General features: G+C 41.5%; 1 annotated feature.

The window, feature by feature from the left end:
* Positions 14627-14876: an enhancer, noted in NCBI's record as "active region_13438". NCBI's record gives its function as "activates an Ori minimal core promoter by ATAC-STARR-seq in GM12878 lymphoblastoid cells {active_cell/tissue: GM12878}" and the evidence as "EXISTENCE:reporter gene assay evidence [ECO:0000049][PMID:35858748]".

Here is a 15217-nt window from a genome sequence, read left to right as displayed (position 1 = left end):
TGGAGCGCAGTGGGGCGATCTCAGCTCACTGCAAGCTCCGCCTCCTGGGTTCACGCCATTCCCCTGCCTCAGCCTTCCGAGTAGCTGGGACTACAGGCACCTGCCACCATGCCCATCTAATTTTTTTGTATTTTCAGTAGAGACGGGCTTTCACCATGTTAGCCAGGATGGTCTCGATCTCCTAACCTCGTGATCTGCCCGCCTCGGCCTCCCAAAGTGCTGGGATTACAGGCGTGAATGTTGCATAAATAAAGCTGCTTTTAAGTGAACTATATTTTCAGCTTCTGGCAGCAGCAACTTCCACAAATGTTCTTTGGGGAAATACCCGCAATAAATATTCAAGTTGAAAAGAGTTTTGTGAACTCAAGACAGTACTTGAATTCACAGAAGATTGACCTTATTTAAAATCTGTTTTCAGCTACCAATTCTGTGTTCAAGGTAATGAACTCTCCTCCTAATCGAACCTGAAATTCACCTTTCAATTATGCATCAAATTGCAAAACCAAAGGACAGGCAGATAAATGTGAAATGAGCAGTTATGTTGTAAGTAAGACATGCTTTGTTCCATCATTTGTGGGCACAAGAACTCATGTTCGTTGCAAATCTTCCTGGCAGTGTCTGAGAACATACCAAACTGAAAGCATCTCAGGATTGTGCCTAGGGAGAGAGAGAAGAAAAGAGGGAGGAAGGGCTGGAGGGAGGGGGAGAGAGAGAGGAAGAAAGAGAAGAGAGAGAGAGAAAGAAAGAGGGGAGAAGAGAGACAGAGAAGAGAGAAAGAAAGAGAAGAGGGAGAAAGAGAGAGAGAAGGGAGTTCTTCTCTTACAGCAACTCCCCTTCCTTTTTTGCATTACATGAGAAAATGGTCTTTCATGTGGCAGAATGAAGAAAAGGCCTGTGTTTATTTTCTCTATCTTTGACTCTGAGGGAAGCTGAGCTGAGTGGTGGTAAATAACTATATAACTGAAATTGCCTTGCTTTGTGTTACCTTAGGAGTGGCTTGTTTTGTAGAGGCTTCAGATTTATGGAGACAGATTACACTCCACTATGTAAATCACTTTGTAAAAGTAAAATCGTAATTCCTTTGGGCCTCTAGGGTACAATTCGATGCACTAAAACAATAATTTACTATTAAGTGGGACCCTTGGGGTGGCTTTTTCTTAGAGAATCGTCTTCTCGTTGGGAGACTGATTCATTAGGCTACAAAAGGAAGCCTCCCTCTTTCTTGTCTACTGTGTCACGCTGTGCTTATACGTCCAAAAGCAGAAAGTTCAGGCTCCAGTTGAGAAGGTGGAAGGTCAGTTCTTGTGTGTCTGACACAGGGAAGGTATCATCGATTCTCAGGAATGACGAGGTGACACCACGTGGGGGACATGCATGTCTTAGCCTAGGATCCAGCAGGACTGGCGCCCTTCAACCATCCCGGCTTCACTGGCGTTTGAGGAAAGGCCTTCAGACCTTTCCTTAAACTGCCAGGACATGGCACTCAGGTCTGCCATGATGTTGGGAAAGTGAAACATAGTTTCTCTCAGACATTTAACTTGCATTTGTGTTTGATTTAGAGCGTGGGGGTATTGTATTTTAAATATTCTCATATTTTTGATTCGCAGAAATAATAACCAATCAATTGCTCAATCCTCAACTGCTAAAATGAAATGCAGTTTGGAGAGATAATAGTTAAATATTTCTAAAACTGTGCCCTGAAATTAAGAAGACCCATTTAAGAATTAGTAGCTTCAGGTTATTGAAAATGTAATTACTTTCAGCCTTTGTAATTTTGTTCCTCTTTTGTGGATGAAGACGAGAGTTCCGCAAACAATACCATTCAGTGGAATTTAATATTCAAGAGAGGATTTGGGTGGTTCAAGATGAAATTAAATCACATGCTTGAGGAGGCTGCATTATGAGCGGCCTCCAAGCTACATTCTTGGATTTTCTAGTTGCTGGTTTCCTTCTAAGCATGGTGCTCCTCCTCCTCTCCATTGGTAGCCAGTGGTTTCATTGCCACTCTGATGACCAGCTCCCTAACAGCTCCATAATCCTTCTTCCACACCTACGCTTTTCTATTTCATTATTAAGTGAACAGGATTTAGACAACTTTTCTCTCATGTCTCTTTTTCTCTTCTCACGGCTCTACTGGTTTACTCTGGAATTTAATTTCTTCTTTGCTAGCAGTTTCTCAATATGTGATTCAAAGAATAAGGGACAAGAAAAGAGGACCCCTCAGTATAACACACGCCTATTCTGCGTGAGAGCAGCGTTCACGTTCTTGTTTAATAGGCCTGGGAAATGCTTCCTAAAGCAACAGTGGAGTGGAGAGTTGGTAGGAACTGTTAATTGTCTTGTGTTGCTTTAGAAAATTGCTTGATTACAGTGGAGACATTTCAAAGGAGAAAAAGCTCCAGTATATGATGGCAAAACCATGTGTAAATCAACTCTGAGTTGTAAATTTGCCAAAATATTCTTTTACCTGGACACCCGGTCCCATCCTAACCCCTTTGTTCTTCAAAAATGAGAATATGCTGGATAGACTATTTATAGCCTGCTTTCTGACAGCTTAATGCATATTAGGATTTTTTCTGTATAATTAAATGCTTTATAATACTTTTTATGATTACATATTATTTCATCTTATGACAGTTGATCATTTATTTAACCATGGCAGTGTTTCCAGTTTTTTCCTATTTATTTCAACAAAACCATGACGTATGTACTTATGTCTATCTCTATTCCCATGCTTCCTGGCTGTCTAATTTCCTTCTCCATATTGTGGGTTGAAGCCCTTCCCTGGCCAGGGGTGTTGCTTGAATGAACCAACAGTATGGTTTATCTCACCAACAAACAACTTAGGCGTAGGAGTGATCCCAGGAATCCCCAAGCATCAAAGTCACTTATTTTACAGATGCAGTCAAGGCCTAGAGAAGCCAGGAAATTTACGAAAATTCTCCTAGCGAATGAGTTCAAAGCATAGACTGAAACCCAGGATTCCTGGATCTCCATTCCATGCTCTTTCCATCATACTAGGTCACTTCCCAAAGTGCCTGAAAAATAAAACCTTCAGAGCCACGCAAAAGCAAAAGAGCCATCTATCTATCATCTATCTATCTATCTATCTATCTATCTATCTATCTATCTATCTATCTATCTGTCTAGACAAACACATATATACATATAACTGTAACTTAGAGCAAAATGTAATTTATAATTACATTGTTAGTTACTTAAAAAAAAACCCTCACTACAATATTATACAGATCTCCCTACAATAAGCTAGCATGAAATAATCCTAGGCTTATTAATCATGTCCCTGAAAAGTTTCCAGATGAGATAGAGACAGGAAAGCACCTGTCAGCCCCCAAAACCCTACGTCTCCAAGTGCTGAGTGCACACACACAGCCGTCCGGTGTTAAGTGCTATGGAGACACCTGAAGCCTAGGCATCAAAGCATTCACCTGCCTTTCCTCCCACCTCCCATCAATTCTTGGAAGACACTAAAACAAAACTTGTCCAAAACCAGTAAAGCGATCAAAGGGCCAAATCTCAATGGCTTTTCCCAAGTGTCGACCAGAGTCTTGACCATCGCTGCCCCAGGCTCATGGGCTGTAACAACCACAGAAATATGCTTTGAAACCTAACATGACAACCTCATATAATTGAAAAGCTGCCAGTGTTGAGGAGGTACAGATATTTAAAAGTCAGAAAGTTGCCAGCCACCCTCAGAAGGTCTTCATAATCAAGACACCTCAGTGTCTAAAGAGCAAGCTCCTCATGCCTGTAGTTCTTTGTGGGAATCTGTAGCCTCTTCCACTTGGTCATGAAACAGCCACAGTTCTGTGCTGGAGGATTTTCCAGATAATCCCAGAAGTGGGCTTACATTTCCTCAGTTCAAGTGGTATAACCAGCACCAACAGGACTCCAGCAGGATGAACACGCCTGATGACATCACTTTGTTGGTGTCAGCAGAGACTTGAGCTCAAATTGAGTGGTGTTGCTGCATCAGGAAAATAAACCAGTACTTACCGACTTGGAGAAGACAGATCTGTGAAAGTCTGAATCGCTTTTAGATCTTTGCAAACAGTTATTGCAAGCCTGGTATTTTTCAGATACCTAATAATATAGTAGTATTTTACATAATTGCCTTCCCTAACATTCGTAGAAAACTATAAATAGTCCTCTTAATGTGCACAGAAGTACTTATATTCCAGATGTTCCCATGGTGAAGGGACTTGAGCTATAATTTCCACCTATTTCAGAAGCACTGAGACAACCAAAACTTGACAAGCTCATTCTTTTCTTTTCCCTCCTACATATTCCCAGCCCCCATCCTCCAAGCCAGTGCTCGAGATAAGGCCGTCTCCCTTCCCAGTGGGGCTCAAGTGCATCTGCGGTGATTCCTGGCCTTTCTACTCCCTCTGAAACAAACTTCAAGAAAAACCCATCTTGGAAAAATGCTCTAGCCTTTGCTCGAGGAGAGGTGTATTTTGTGTGTCATATGTTGCTTGTTTCTGTTTTCTTTTTTTTTTTTAATTTTTATTTTTGCAGATGGAGTTTTGCTCTGCAGCCCAGGCTGGAGTGCATTGGCACAATCTTGGCTCACTGCAACCTCTGCTTCCTGGGTTCAAACAATTCACCTGCTTCAGCCTCCCAAGTAGCTGGGATTACAGGTGCATACCACCATGCCCAGCTAATTTTTGTGTTTTAGTAGAGATGGGGTTTCATCATGTTGACCAGGCTGGTCTTGAACTCCCGACCTCAAGTTATCCACCTGCCTCAGTCTCCCAAAGTGCTGGGATTACAGGCATGAGCCACCACGCTCGGCCCCTTGTTTCTGTTTTTAAAGGCTACTGGAGGTGGAGTGAGTGAAGGCTTCCTGCTGTTACTTGATTGAGGTTTCCTTTTCTTGACTACTGTGTTTTCACGCCTGCTTATAAAACTACTGACGTGTGAATCTAGCAAAAAGTTTTTCCTCCACAATGTGAATTAGAATATTGACTAATAATTATTTTGAATTTTTTTAGGTTGGATTAAAATTTGCACTACTATTCCAGAAAACTCATTGTCTACTAGAATCAGAACCATATTTTAGGCTGGGTGCAGTGGCTCACACCAGTAATCCCAGCACTTTAAGACGTTGAAGTGGGAGGATTGCTTGAGCCTAGGAGTTCAAGACCAGCAGGGGCAATATGACAAGACCTCATCTCTACAAAAAAAAAAAAAAAAAATTAGCCAGGGTGGCGGCGCATGCCTGTGGTCCCAGCTACTCAGGAAGCTGAGGTGGGGAGGATAGCTTGAGCCCAGGAGGTCGAGGCTGCAGTGAGCTATGATTGCACCACTGCACTCCAGCCTGGGCAACAGAGCAAGACCCTGTCTCAAAAAGAAAAAAAGAATATTTTAATCATGTTGGTCCTAACTTGCATTCTAAGTTTCATATTTAAAGGCACCATGCACCTGACTCTTCCCAACATTGAGCATGTGGTTGGAGAGGGTGCAGGTCTGGGGTAGGGGTGAAGGGAAGGGTCTGGAAGCCTCTGGTCCTCATTCATAAACCCTATAGAATAGAAAGGAGGGTTGCTTTGCTAACCTTCTGGGTGGTGGTAGGAACTCTTTCAGGCAAGAGGAACATCAGTATCAGGCAAGACTCCCAGGGAAGTTGGGGATCTGGGAGTATATTTTTGTTAATCCAACTCTTTGTACCTCTCCTCAAAAGTCTGTGGGCCTCCACAGGCGTAGGCACTCTAGAGTTGGGTTAATGCAAACAGATTTCCAGATCTGCAACTTCCTTGAGAATTTTGACAGATACTGACCTGCTGAGAACGGACCAGGTCTCCTTTGCCAACCTCCCATTCACAACTGCTCTTCTCCCTCCTTACAAAAGAAAAGTGCACCTCTTGTGGGTGCCCCAGAACATAAAGACTAGAGCATCAAGCCAAGGGCAATTTGACATATTGGTGTTTAATCAAAACATCATAAACTTGCAGTCACACATATTTCTGTTAAAGGAAAACATAGCTTCAGAGATGGAGTTTTTTAATCCAACTTAGATGCTCAGACTGTTTTAAACTGTTGTTTCTCCTCTTCTATCTCCTAAGTATTGACAGAGAACTTGCCACCAGAGAGAAAGCAAGCAAGGAGAGAAACTCACATGCAGTGGGTGGCAAGTCTGTAAGCTTTATCCCACAGCACTCTTTGAAGTGAGATACTGTCTCAGAGACACATCTTAACACATTCACTTGAATTGAGGAATGAGGGCGGATTGTTTCTAACAGAAAGCCTCAGTAATTTCACTGATTGGTTAGACAATGAGGATTGACTTTATCAATTTGTTCATAGGATGACAGACATTTTCCATAAATTAAATGAACTAAATTAGCAGCTCCAATGTCTCAAATAAAATAGATGTAAAGCCCTTGATAAGGTAAAAGCATTTTATCAAAAATAGTCTATTGGCAAAGGCATATTGAAATTAACAGTATTTAGATTTCCCTAACACTTTCTGGTAACAGTGGGTGAAACAAAATGCCTAAATGTAAGAATAAATAGATATAATTAATCATCATTTTTGGTTATTTTTCCCAAAGTTGGAAAATTAAATGACTCCAATGATTGAATAACAAATCTTTTGAATCTTTTGTAAATCAGATGGTTTCCTTTTTTAGGGAGAGTGTATTGGCTTTTATTATAATTAAAGGAGAAGCTAATTGAGTTGTCACCTGATAGAATACTAAAAACAATTTTTGATGATGGATTTTTTTCTTTTTTTTTTTTTTGAGACGGAGTCTCGCCCTGTTACCCAGCTTGGAGTGCAGTGGCGCGATCTCAGCTCACTGCAAGCTCCGCCTCTTGGGTTCACGCCATTCTCCTGCCCCAGCCTCCCGAGTAGCTGGGACTACAGGCACCCACCACCACACCTGGCTAATTTTTTGTATTTTTAGTAGAGATGGGGTTTCACCATGTTAGCCATGATGGTCTCGATCTCCTGACCTCGTGATCTGCCTGCGTCAGCCTCCCAAAGTACTGGGATTACAGGCGTGAGCCACGGCGCCCGGCCGATGATGGATTTTTTTTAATTTTTGATGAGGGATTATTAGGTGATTTTTGGAATATCCCTTGGAAAGAGTTCAAAGAGTTGGATGTCACTGTTGTAACAAAGTGCCTGCCATTTATTTATAGAACAAAATTTTTTTAGAGCTTACATGTGTAAAAATGAAAACTAGGAATAGAATTGAAGCTGAACCTTGTCTTACTCCAGCAATAAGTAATATTCACCTATAGATAAATCCATATCTAGAGAGACATTTTCAACAGCAGTTTACTTTTATATATAATAATTATATGTCAACATTTGAAATATATTTATGTTGTTTTGATGAATTGTAAACTAATAACAATTATAGCAATAAATCAGTCCAGATAAAAATTAATGCCTAGTACCCTATGGCTACTGAAAGTTTAAAAAGCTTGAAATTCCAATTTATGGGCATATTTCTGTGGCAAAGAATCAGGACTGAGTGATTGATTAATGCCTTGAAGCATAAAGATATTGCAACGGGATAAAATTCCATGGGAGAAGTACAATGGAAATGTGGGTTCAAGAAGAGAAAGAAATTATAAACAGTTCTGAAAGTTAAGCAACAGAGGTCCACATCCTTTTTAAGTCAATGTTGATGGTTTTCAACGCTCATGGTATTTAGACTCCGTTATTTATATGTAAAAGAGTACTCCAACAGTTCTTTAAATCCAATTTTTACAACATAAAGTATGTCTTTTGTGACTATATTAACATATGATGAAAAAATTAAATGTCAGCCAAAACATGTGTGCAAGAGAAATCTAGTTTTGTTTCAATTATTATATAAGCTACAGGAGAAGGGTCTGAAGTCCATTCTTCAGGTAACTTGGGTTTCTTGATATAAGACAGAACAGTTTTTCATTCTCTTTCACCTGTGCTTCTGTGAACAGGCAACCAGCCTCCAATGCCCGGTGTGGCTAAATGTTCCCTTTGCTGTCACCTGAGTGTTTTTAAGCTTCAGCAACATATGAACAGTTTTAAATTTATTTTTTATTTTTGGATACAGGGTCTCGCTCTGTTGCCCAGGCTGGAGTGCTGTGGTGCCATCATGGCTCATGGTAGCTTTGAACTCCTCAGCTCAAGCAATCCTCCTGCCTCAGCCTCCTGAGTAGCTGGGACTACGGATGCATGCCACCACACCTGGCTAATTTTTAAAATTTTTTTAGAGATGGAGTCTTACTATGTTACCCAGGCTGCTCTTGAACTCCTGGGCTCAAGCAACCCTCCCGCCTCAGCCTCCAAAAGTCTGGAACTCCAGGTGTGAGCCACCACGCCTGGCCTGGACCCCTTTTCAGGGGAAAATATGTTGTGGACCCCCTTTATTGCCTTAAATTTTTTTCTATAGTAATGCTGCTTACAAATACAAAACTCCATATTTAATCCTTTATACTCATAGCTCTTATGCATTGATTTATAAAAACAAATTTACAAGTCAAAAACAAATCACAGGCTGGGCATGGTGGCTCACGCCTGTAATCCCAACACTTTGGGAGGCTGAGATGAGCCGATCACCTGAGGTCAGGAGTTCAACACCAGCATGGCCAACATGGTGAAACCCTCTCTGTACTAAAAATACAAAAATTAGCAGGGCATGGTGGTGGGCGCCTGTAATCCCAGCTACTCAGGAGGCTAAGGCAGGAGAATCTCTTGAACCTGGGAGGCAGAGGTTGCAGTGAGCCAAGATCATGCCACTGCACTGCAGCCTGGGCGACAGAGCAAGACTTCGTCTCAAAAAACAAACAAACAAACAAAACAAATCACAAAGCCAACAAAATTAAAATGTTACCTCACAGGACTGTTGATCTTGTTTGTTGAAGCTAAATTGCTGCTCTCTATGAAACAGCACTCATTGCTGTGGCAGCAGTTTTGTTGTTTTGTTTAATTTTGACATCCCTGTATTCTTGGGGGGCATCTAATGGCTCAGTGATTTCCTTGCCTCTTCTCTAACTAGTTGAAATCTTTGTGTTCAGTTGGCACAAGGTGGTGTCACAGTTTCGTCTGCCAAGATCTCTCCTTTTCAGACCCCACTCTTCTGGCAGTAGACCAGGACAATTATATGTTCCTTGGTGACAAAAAGATTGTAAATACAAATGCAGGTACCTCACTCCTGGGCAGGGATTTAGTTTTGGAGTGGTCACCAAATGATGCTGCATTCACTTCTATTAAGATCTTTAAAAATTAGCATCAAAAAATATGTATTGTACGGAACTCATGGCCCCCACCACATCCTCAGACTCTTGGAGCCCTGTAGATGCCAGTGTGGGACACACACTGCAATCTCAGCTGTTACCCACAACCTGAATGGGTGCAGCGCTTACCAGTTTAGACAGGTCTGAGAAGACATGGAGGAAAGAGAGGTCATGAAATGGAATTTTCCATCTAAGCCACTCTAAGCAGGCCAGAGGCAAATCATCTTTGAATTGCCCAGGATGCCTGGCAGAGTGCCTGGCATGTATGGTAAGTACTTTATAGTTTGTTTGTTAAAGTGATTTGTTTGTTTGTTTCTGAGATGGAGTCTCACTCTTGTTGCCAGGCTGGAATGCAATGGTGTGATCTCGGCTCACTGCCGCCTCCACATACCAGGTTCAAGCAATTCTCTTGCCTCAGTCTCCCAAAGTGGCTGGGATTGCAGGCATCCACCACCACGCCGGGTTAATTTTTGTTTTGTTTTTGAGACGGAGTTTTGCTCTTGTTGCCCAGGCTGGAGTGCAATGGCGCAATCTCGGTTCACCGCAACCTCCACCTTCTGGGTTCAAGCGATTCTCCTGCCTCAGCCTCTCGAGTAGCTGGAATTACAGGCATGCGCCACTACACCTGGCTAATTTTGTATTTTTAGTAGAAACAGGGTTTCTCCAGGTTGGTCAGGCTGGTCTTGAACTCCTGACCTCAGGTGATCCACCCGCCTCGGCCTCCCAAAGTGCTGGGATTACAGGCATGAGCCACCGTGCCCGGCCAATTTTTGTATTTTTAGTAGGGACGGGGTTTCACCATGTTGGCCAGGCTGGTCTCAAACTCCTGACCTCAGGTGATCCTACTGCCTCGGCCTCCCTAAGTGCTGTGATTACAGGCTGTTAAAGTGATTTAAATAGAAGACTCAAGTTATTAAGTCACCCAGGATGGGCCTCTGATGATTGGCTTTGTTTCTAAATATCCCAAAAATAATTTATCTGGGTTTATTACCATATTATATATAATCCTAAGCTCCTCCTATATATTTATATATAATATTATAACACATTATATATTATATATATATTTCATATATAATATATAGTACATTAAATATATTTAATATAGGTACATTAAAATTATATTAAATATATATTAATTATAGTGAAGTAAAAATATTATATACTATACATGAGTTATAAATAATACATGTGTTATATAATATATAAAATTATATTATAACTCATAGATCATATGACATATATTATAGAGGCTGGGGTGGGGTGAGGCTCTGGTAGACTCATCTCGAAGCCACTGTGGTTTGGCAAGTGCACTTCCATTGTGTGTCTCCGGAGAGCATATCTGAAGGGGGCCATTGGAGGCTGGGGCCACTATTGCTAAGCGCCGGTGGGAATTTAAATCATTGGATGTGTTGTTCATTATTCCCAGTCCTGTCTGAGTCTGCCATGGAGAAAGGTGTTCTCAGCATTGACTCCCCAGCCTTTCTCCAACCTTACCCCAAGCTTTTGAATAATACATGTTTTCCTTGTCCGCAGATGATTTTCTCTTAAAAACATACGATGCCATCTAATCCCAAATGAGGGGCTAAATAGAACCCACACTTTTAAAAATAAAGTCATGTCTTTCCTATAATTTTTTAGCACTTAGTATATTTTGAGACTGTAACATTCTGGCACTCTTAGTTTTCTTCCAGAGACGTTATCAAGTTCTAAGTCATGTCGCTAAGTCAGCAACAAGCTTTCTTCCGTGCCTGATAGTCTAAGAACTCAACACACAGGCTTTAAAACTACATTACCTTGGTTTAAATCTCACTCTTGCAACTTATTTGTTCTCTGACTTGGGAAGGCCACTTAACATTTCTGAGCCTTAGTTTTCTCATTTCAAAAATGGTTGTTGAAAGGACTAGGGGAAATAATACTGATCAGGTTTTTAATCACCATGCCTGGCATCGCAAAGAGCTCAATAAATAATAGCTGTTTTTCTGTCATTGCCTCCTAAAATATATAAATTCACATATGATTTTGGGAATTGAGTTCCTCGAATGAGATTTCCAAAGACTTTATTGGATGTAATTCATTTTCTAGAACTTAATTTCTTCCCAGGTCCTTCCAGAATGCAGCATAGTAACATCAACACACACCTATATACAGTATCCTGAAACCAGAACAGCCGTTTTACTGCACTGCTGTTTGCTCATAAAGCAGTCACATTGTTGGTGTCTGCTCTGCACTCAAGAAAGAAGGGATCAACACTTTACTGGAAATAAGACAGAAGACTCTGTTGGACTCAGGAGCTAACTTGTTATAATTTGCTCATTTGAGTCTTAGGACTTTCTGATATGCAAAACCTTGAATTCTTTCATACTTGACTAGTTCTTTTCTCACTTTTAAATTACACGATTTCACTTTTAAATTATAGAACTTACAAAAAATTCTGAATTGAAATCTCTGAACCCAAAGCAGACACACTGGGTTGAGCTGTCTTACAAGAAGGTACACCAAACTCAGTAGTGTGGATCCCAGTCTCAACACTGCCGCAGCCTGGCTGTGTGATCTTGGGTAACCCACTGCCCTTCTCTGGGCCTCAGTCTCCTCTTCTACCAAATGAGAGGATGGACTCCATGAAGGCCATGATTCTAAACTCCCATTATTCTAAAAGAAAGAGGCAAAATTGACTTATAATCCCAAGGAAAAAGTAATTAAAATGTTAATAGAGCTCTATAGTTTACAAAGCACTGTCTCAAATGATTCCTATAACAATGCTATGAGATGTTATCATTTGTCCCATTATGGATGAGACTTTTGCCATACTGATAAATAAAGTGACAACCAAGAATATATAGTTCCTGAGCTAAGAAGAGATCCAGGATCTTTCTGTCTGGGATATTGGATTTCTAAATTTTCCCTAAATTTATAGTCATTTGATTAGAGGGGAAATTGCTTATACTTCAAATCCAGAAAATTATCTTTATCCTCATGGCTACTTGCCCATTCACACAGATTCTACAGGTTGCATCATTCATTCATTGACTAATTTCATCAGCATTTCCTGGCTATGTCAGTACAGCATCGTTCAAAGTGCTATGTGGAGATTCAAGAGAAGGACACATAAGCACGAGCTGTTCCCAGCAGTGGGGGAAACGGCATGGGAAACGGATATACTATCCAGGTCTCCTTATGCACTGATACAGTCCCAGCACTTACGACAGTATCTGGTGCATGGTAGAAGAGTGAATGAATGAATGAAACCACAAGTGGGTTGAAGTATGGGGTCACACAATTCTGACCAACCCTCTTCTAGGAAGGTTCCCTTCCATTCACCACACAGGAGTCAGAACTTCTATCTTTCTACTCCCATTTCTGTAGCATGTATCACATTGGGGTTGTTTTCCTTTAGTTTAAAGTTTTTCATCAAAGTCATACATGCTTGGAGTTAAAAATCAAATAGTGCCCAAGGGCTGGAAATAAATTACAGTGATTCTTTCCCCCTCCTTTCCCTCTCCCCACACTCCAGTTCTCATACCTCGAGGCAACCACTTTGAACCCTTTCAGCTGCAGCTCTGGAAATTACCTGCACAGCACTATGTAATACACGTCGATGCTAAAGTTCTTGATCTAGCCATTTCAGATGGCATCTATCATCTGTTATGATGGATCACTATTTTAAATTAAGTCATATTTTTATGACTATTTATGACTTACTTTGTTTCAAGCACCCTGTCAGCTCTACCATCTGCCTGCCTCTTTTCTCACCCTGGTGGTGGACACCCTCGGATATCTAGGGAGCCCCCCATTTTTTCCAGAATTCCCCTCTCCCTAAACCCCCATCCTCCTGCTCCAGGTTGGCCCACTGCTCCTCCATCCTCCTCCCCATGCTCCCAGCTCACCACCAGTCTTGCCTGCTCCCAGGGCTTCATCTTTCCAGGTTTGCTCCTTGATCATCCACTTCTGATAACAGAAGGAAAGGAAGGTAGAGATCTGAGTCTAGTGTGCCTGAAAATCTATTTTGCCTCACATGTGAGTGAGCTTAGCACAGAGCCAAATTCTACATTCCTGTTTTCTCCAGATTTAGAAGGCATTGCTCCCTTATCTTCTAGAGTCTGTGTTGAGGAGTCTGATGCCATGCTCTGCTTTTTTCTCTGCTTGGAAAGCTTTTGGGGACATTTATTTATCTTCATTGTTCACAGCAATGTGCCTTGATGTGGGTCTTTTCCTTCTGCTGTGTTGATAACTCAGTCAGCTCTTTCAGTCTAGAGATTTAAGTCTCAGTGTTAGAAAGTGCCCAGTGATTATTTTTTCTGACCATTTTCTCTGTGCTTTCATTCTGAAACCCCTATGAATCAGACTTTCAGAAATCTCCCATGTCTCTTTTCTTTCATATTTTCTATCTTTTTATCATTTATATTAATTTACTCAGCTTTGTGTACCAACACCTACAGTGAATTTTTTAAAATCTGGTGTTGTATTTGTTTTAAATTTCAAGGGTGCATTCTTCATCTCTGATTGTTACCATTTTATAGCATTTTATCCTTGTTTTAGAACTGCAATGTTTCCTGCTTCTAAGGATAGCATTTGGGTCTTTATTTTTTTAAATGTTCTCTCTTCCCTGCATGAGTTCCATTTTGCAGTTGTTTACTTGGGGCCTCCTCGTGTTGAGGGTTCTCTTGGTGTGTTTGGAAAACCTCAGTTGTCTGGCATTGAAGATCATCAAAGACTAAATGGAAGCTCTGTGTGCAAGGTGGAATCTGTTAATGGTTCCTTGAGGGTCCCCTAAATGATATTTTCCCTAGAGCTATCCAGGGAATCCAAGGAGGAGAAATCCTCCCATCTCCTGAAAGTGGAGAGAAGAGAAGGTGTGGGTTACTTGTGACCTGCCCTCAGGCTAAAAGACCATTCCATTGGCAGACGTTGAGTATTCTCTCCCTCTTTTCAGCCTCATCCCCATCTCCATTTTGTGAATGGCTTTAAGCTAAGCTCCTCCAATTCAGTTCCTTCAGAAAATAGATCTCAAGCCTCCTGCCAGGAAGCAGTGGCTGGCAGCTAGCACCCTGTCTGAGACAGCAGAAGAGGGTTAAACATTCTCTGACTCCCCACGCAAGACCCTGCTTTCAACTGGGTATCCCAGCCCCTCTGTCTGACATTCCTGGTACCCCCACATTCTGACCTCTTGGGGTTCACCACGACCTTCTTACTGTAGATTCCATTCTCTAAGTGCACTTTGGGTTGTGTCTTTCTCAGTTCTGCTAAGTCAATGACAATTGTCCATCTAATTTTTGTCCTGAAAAATTTCATTGAACTCTCTTCTCTACTGATGTTTTCTTCTATATTCTTTGTCCTTAGGGATTTATTCCTTTTTACTTCCTTACTATTATTTTATCAGAAGTGTCAGAAGGGAGAGGTGATGCATATACGTTTCACATAACATCTTTGGGCTTGTGATTTGCTGATGTAAACACCTGTTCCTATTTATGAATGACTTCCCCTCCTTTCTCTTTGGGAAAGTCCCTTCCTGGTTGCTCTCTGGTTTCTATTTTGGGAGGCATGATTTCCCCTCTGCTATTGGCTTTGTTGGTTCTTTTGTTCTGCTGTTGGATTTTCCCACCTGTTGTATGGTAAGTTTTGTTGTATGGTAAGTTTGCACACTCTGCTTGCATGGACATTTCCTTGCCCTTCTCCATTTACCTTTCTGTATCTGGAAGTTTCTGAGTGCTCCCGTGCAGCCTCCTAGGAGGACAGGTCAGACCTGGGATTCATGCCCACAATAGCTCAGCGCAGTCTTCTCTGGGGCACATCAGGGCTCCAGCAGACACGTGTTCATGTCTAGAGCCTCCTTCCACCCCAGCAAACTGCTTGTTTCTTACTGCAACCTTGCAGTGGGGGAGGGGAGCTTTTCTAGCTTTATTCACAGGCAAAGAATGGTCACAGGCTGGAGTTTCCAGCAGGCAGGGCACCTGGCATTGAC

This window comes from Homo sapiens, chromosome 18 (genome assembly GCF_000001405.40).
Source record: "Homo sapiens chromosome 18, GRCh38.p14 Primary Assembly".
Classification (NCBI taxonomy): domain Eukaryota; kingdom Metazoa; phylum Chordata; class Mammalia; order Primates; family Hominidae; genus Homo; species Homo sapiens.
The sequence above is the reverse complement of the archived record's forward strand: the minus strand, read 5'-3'. Positions and strand labels throughout refer to the sequence as shown.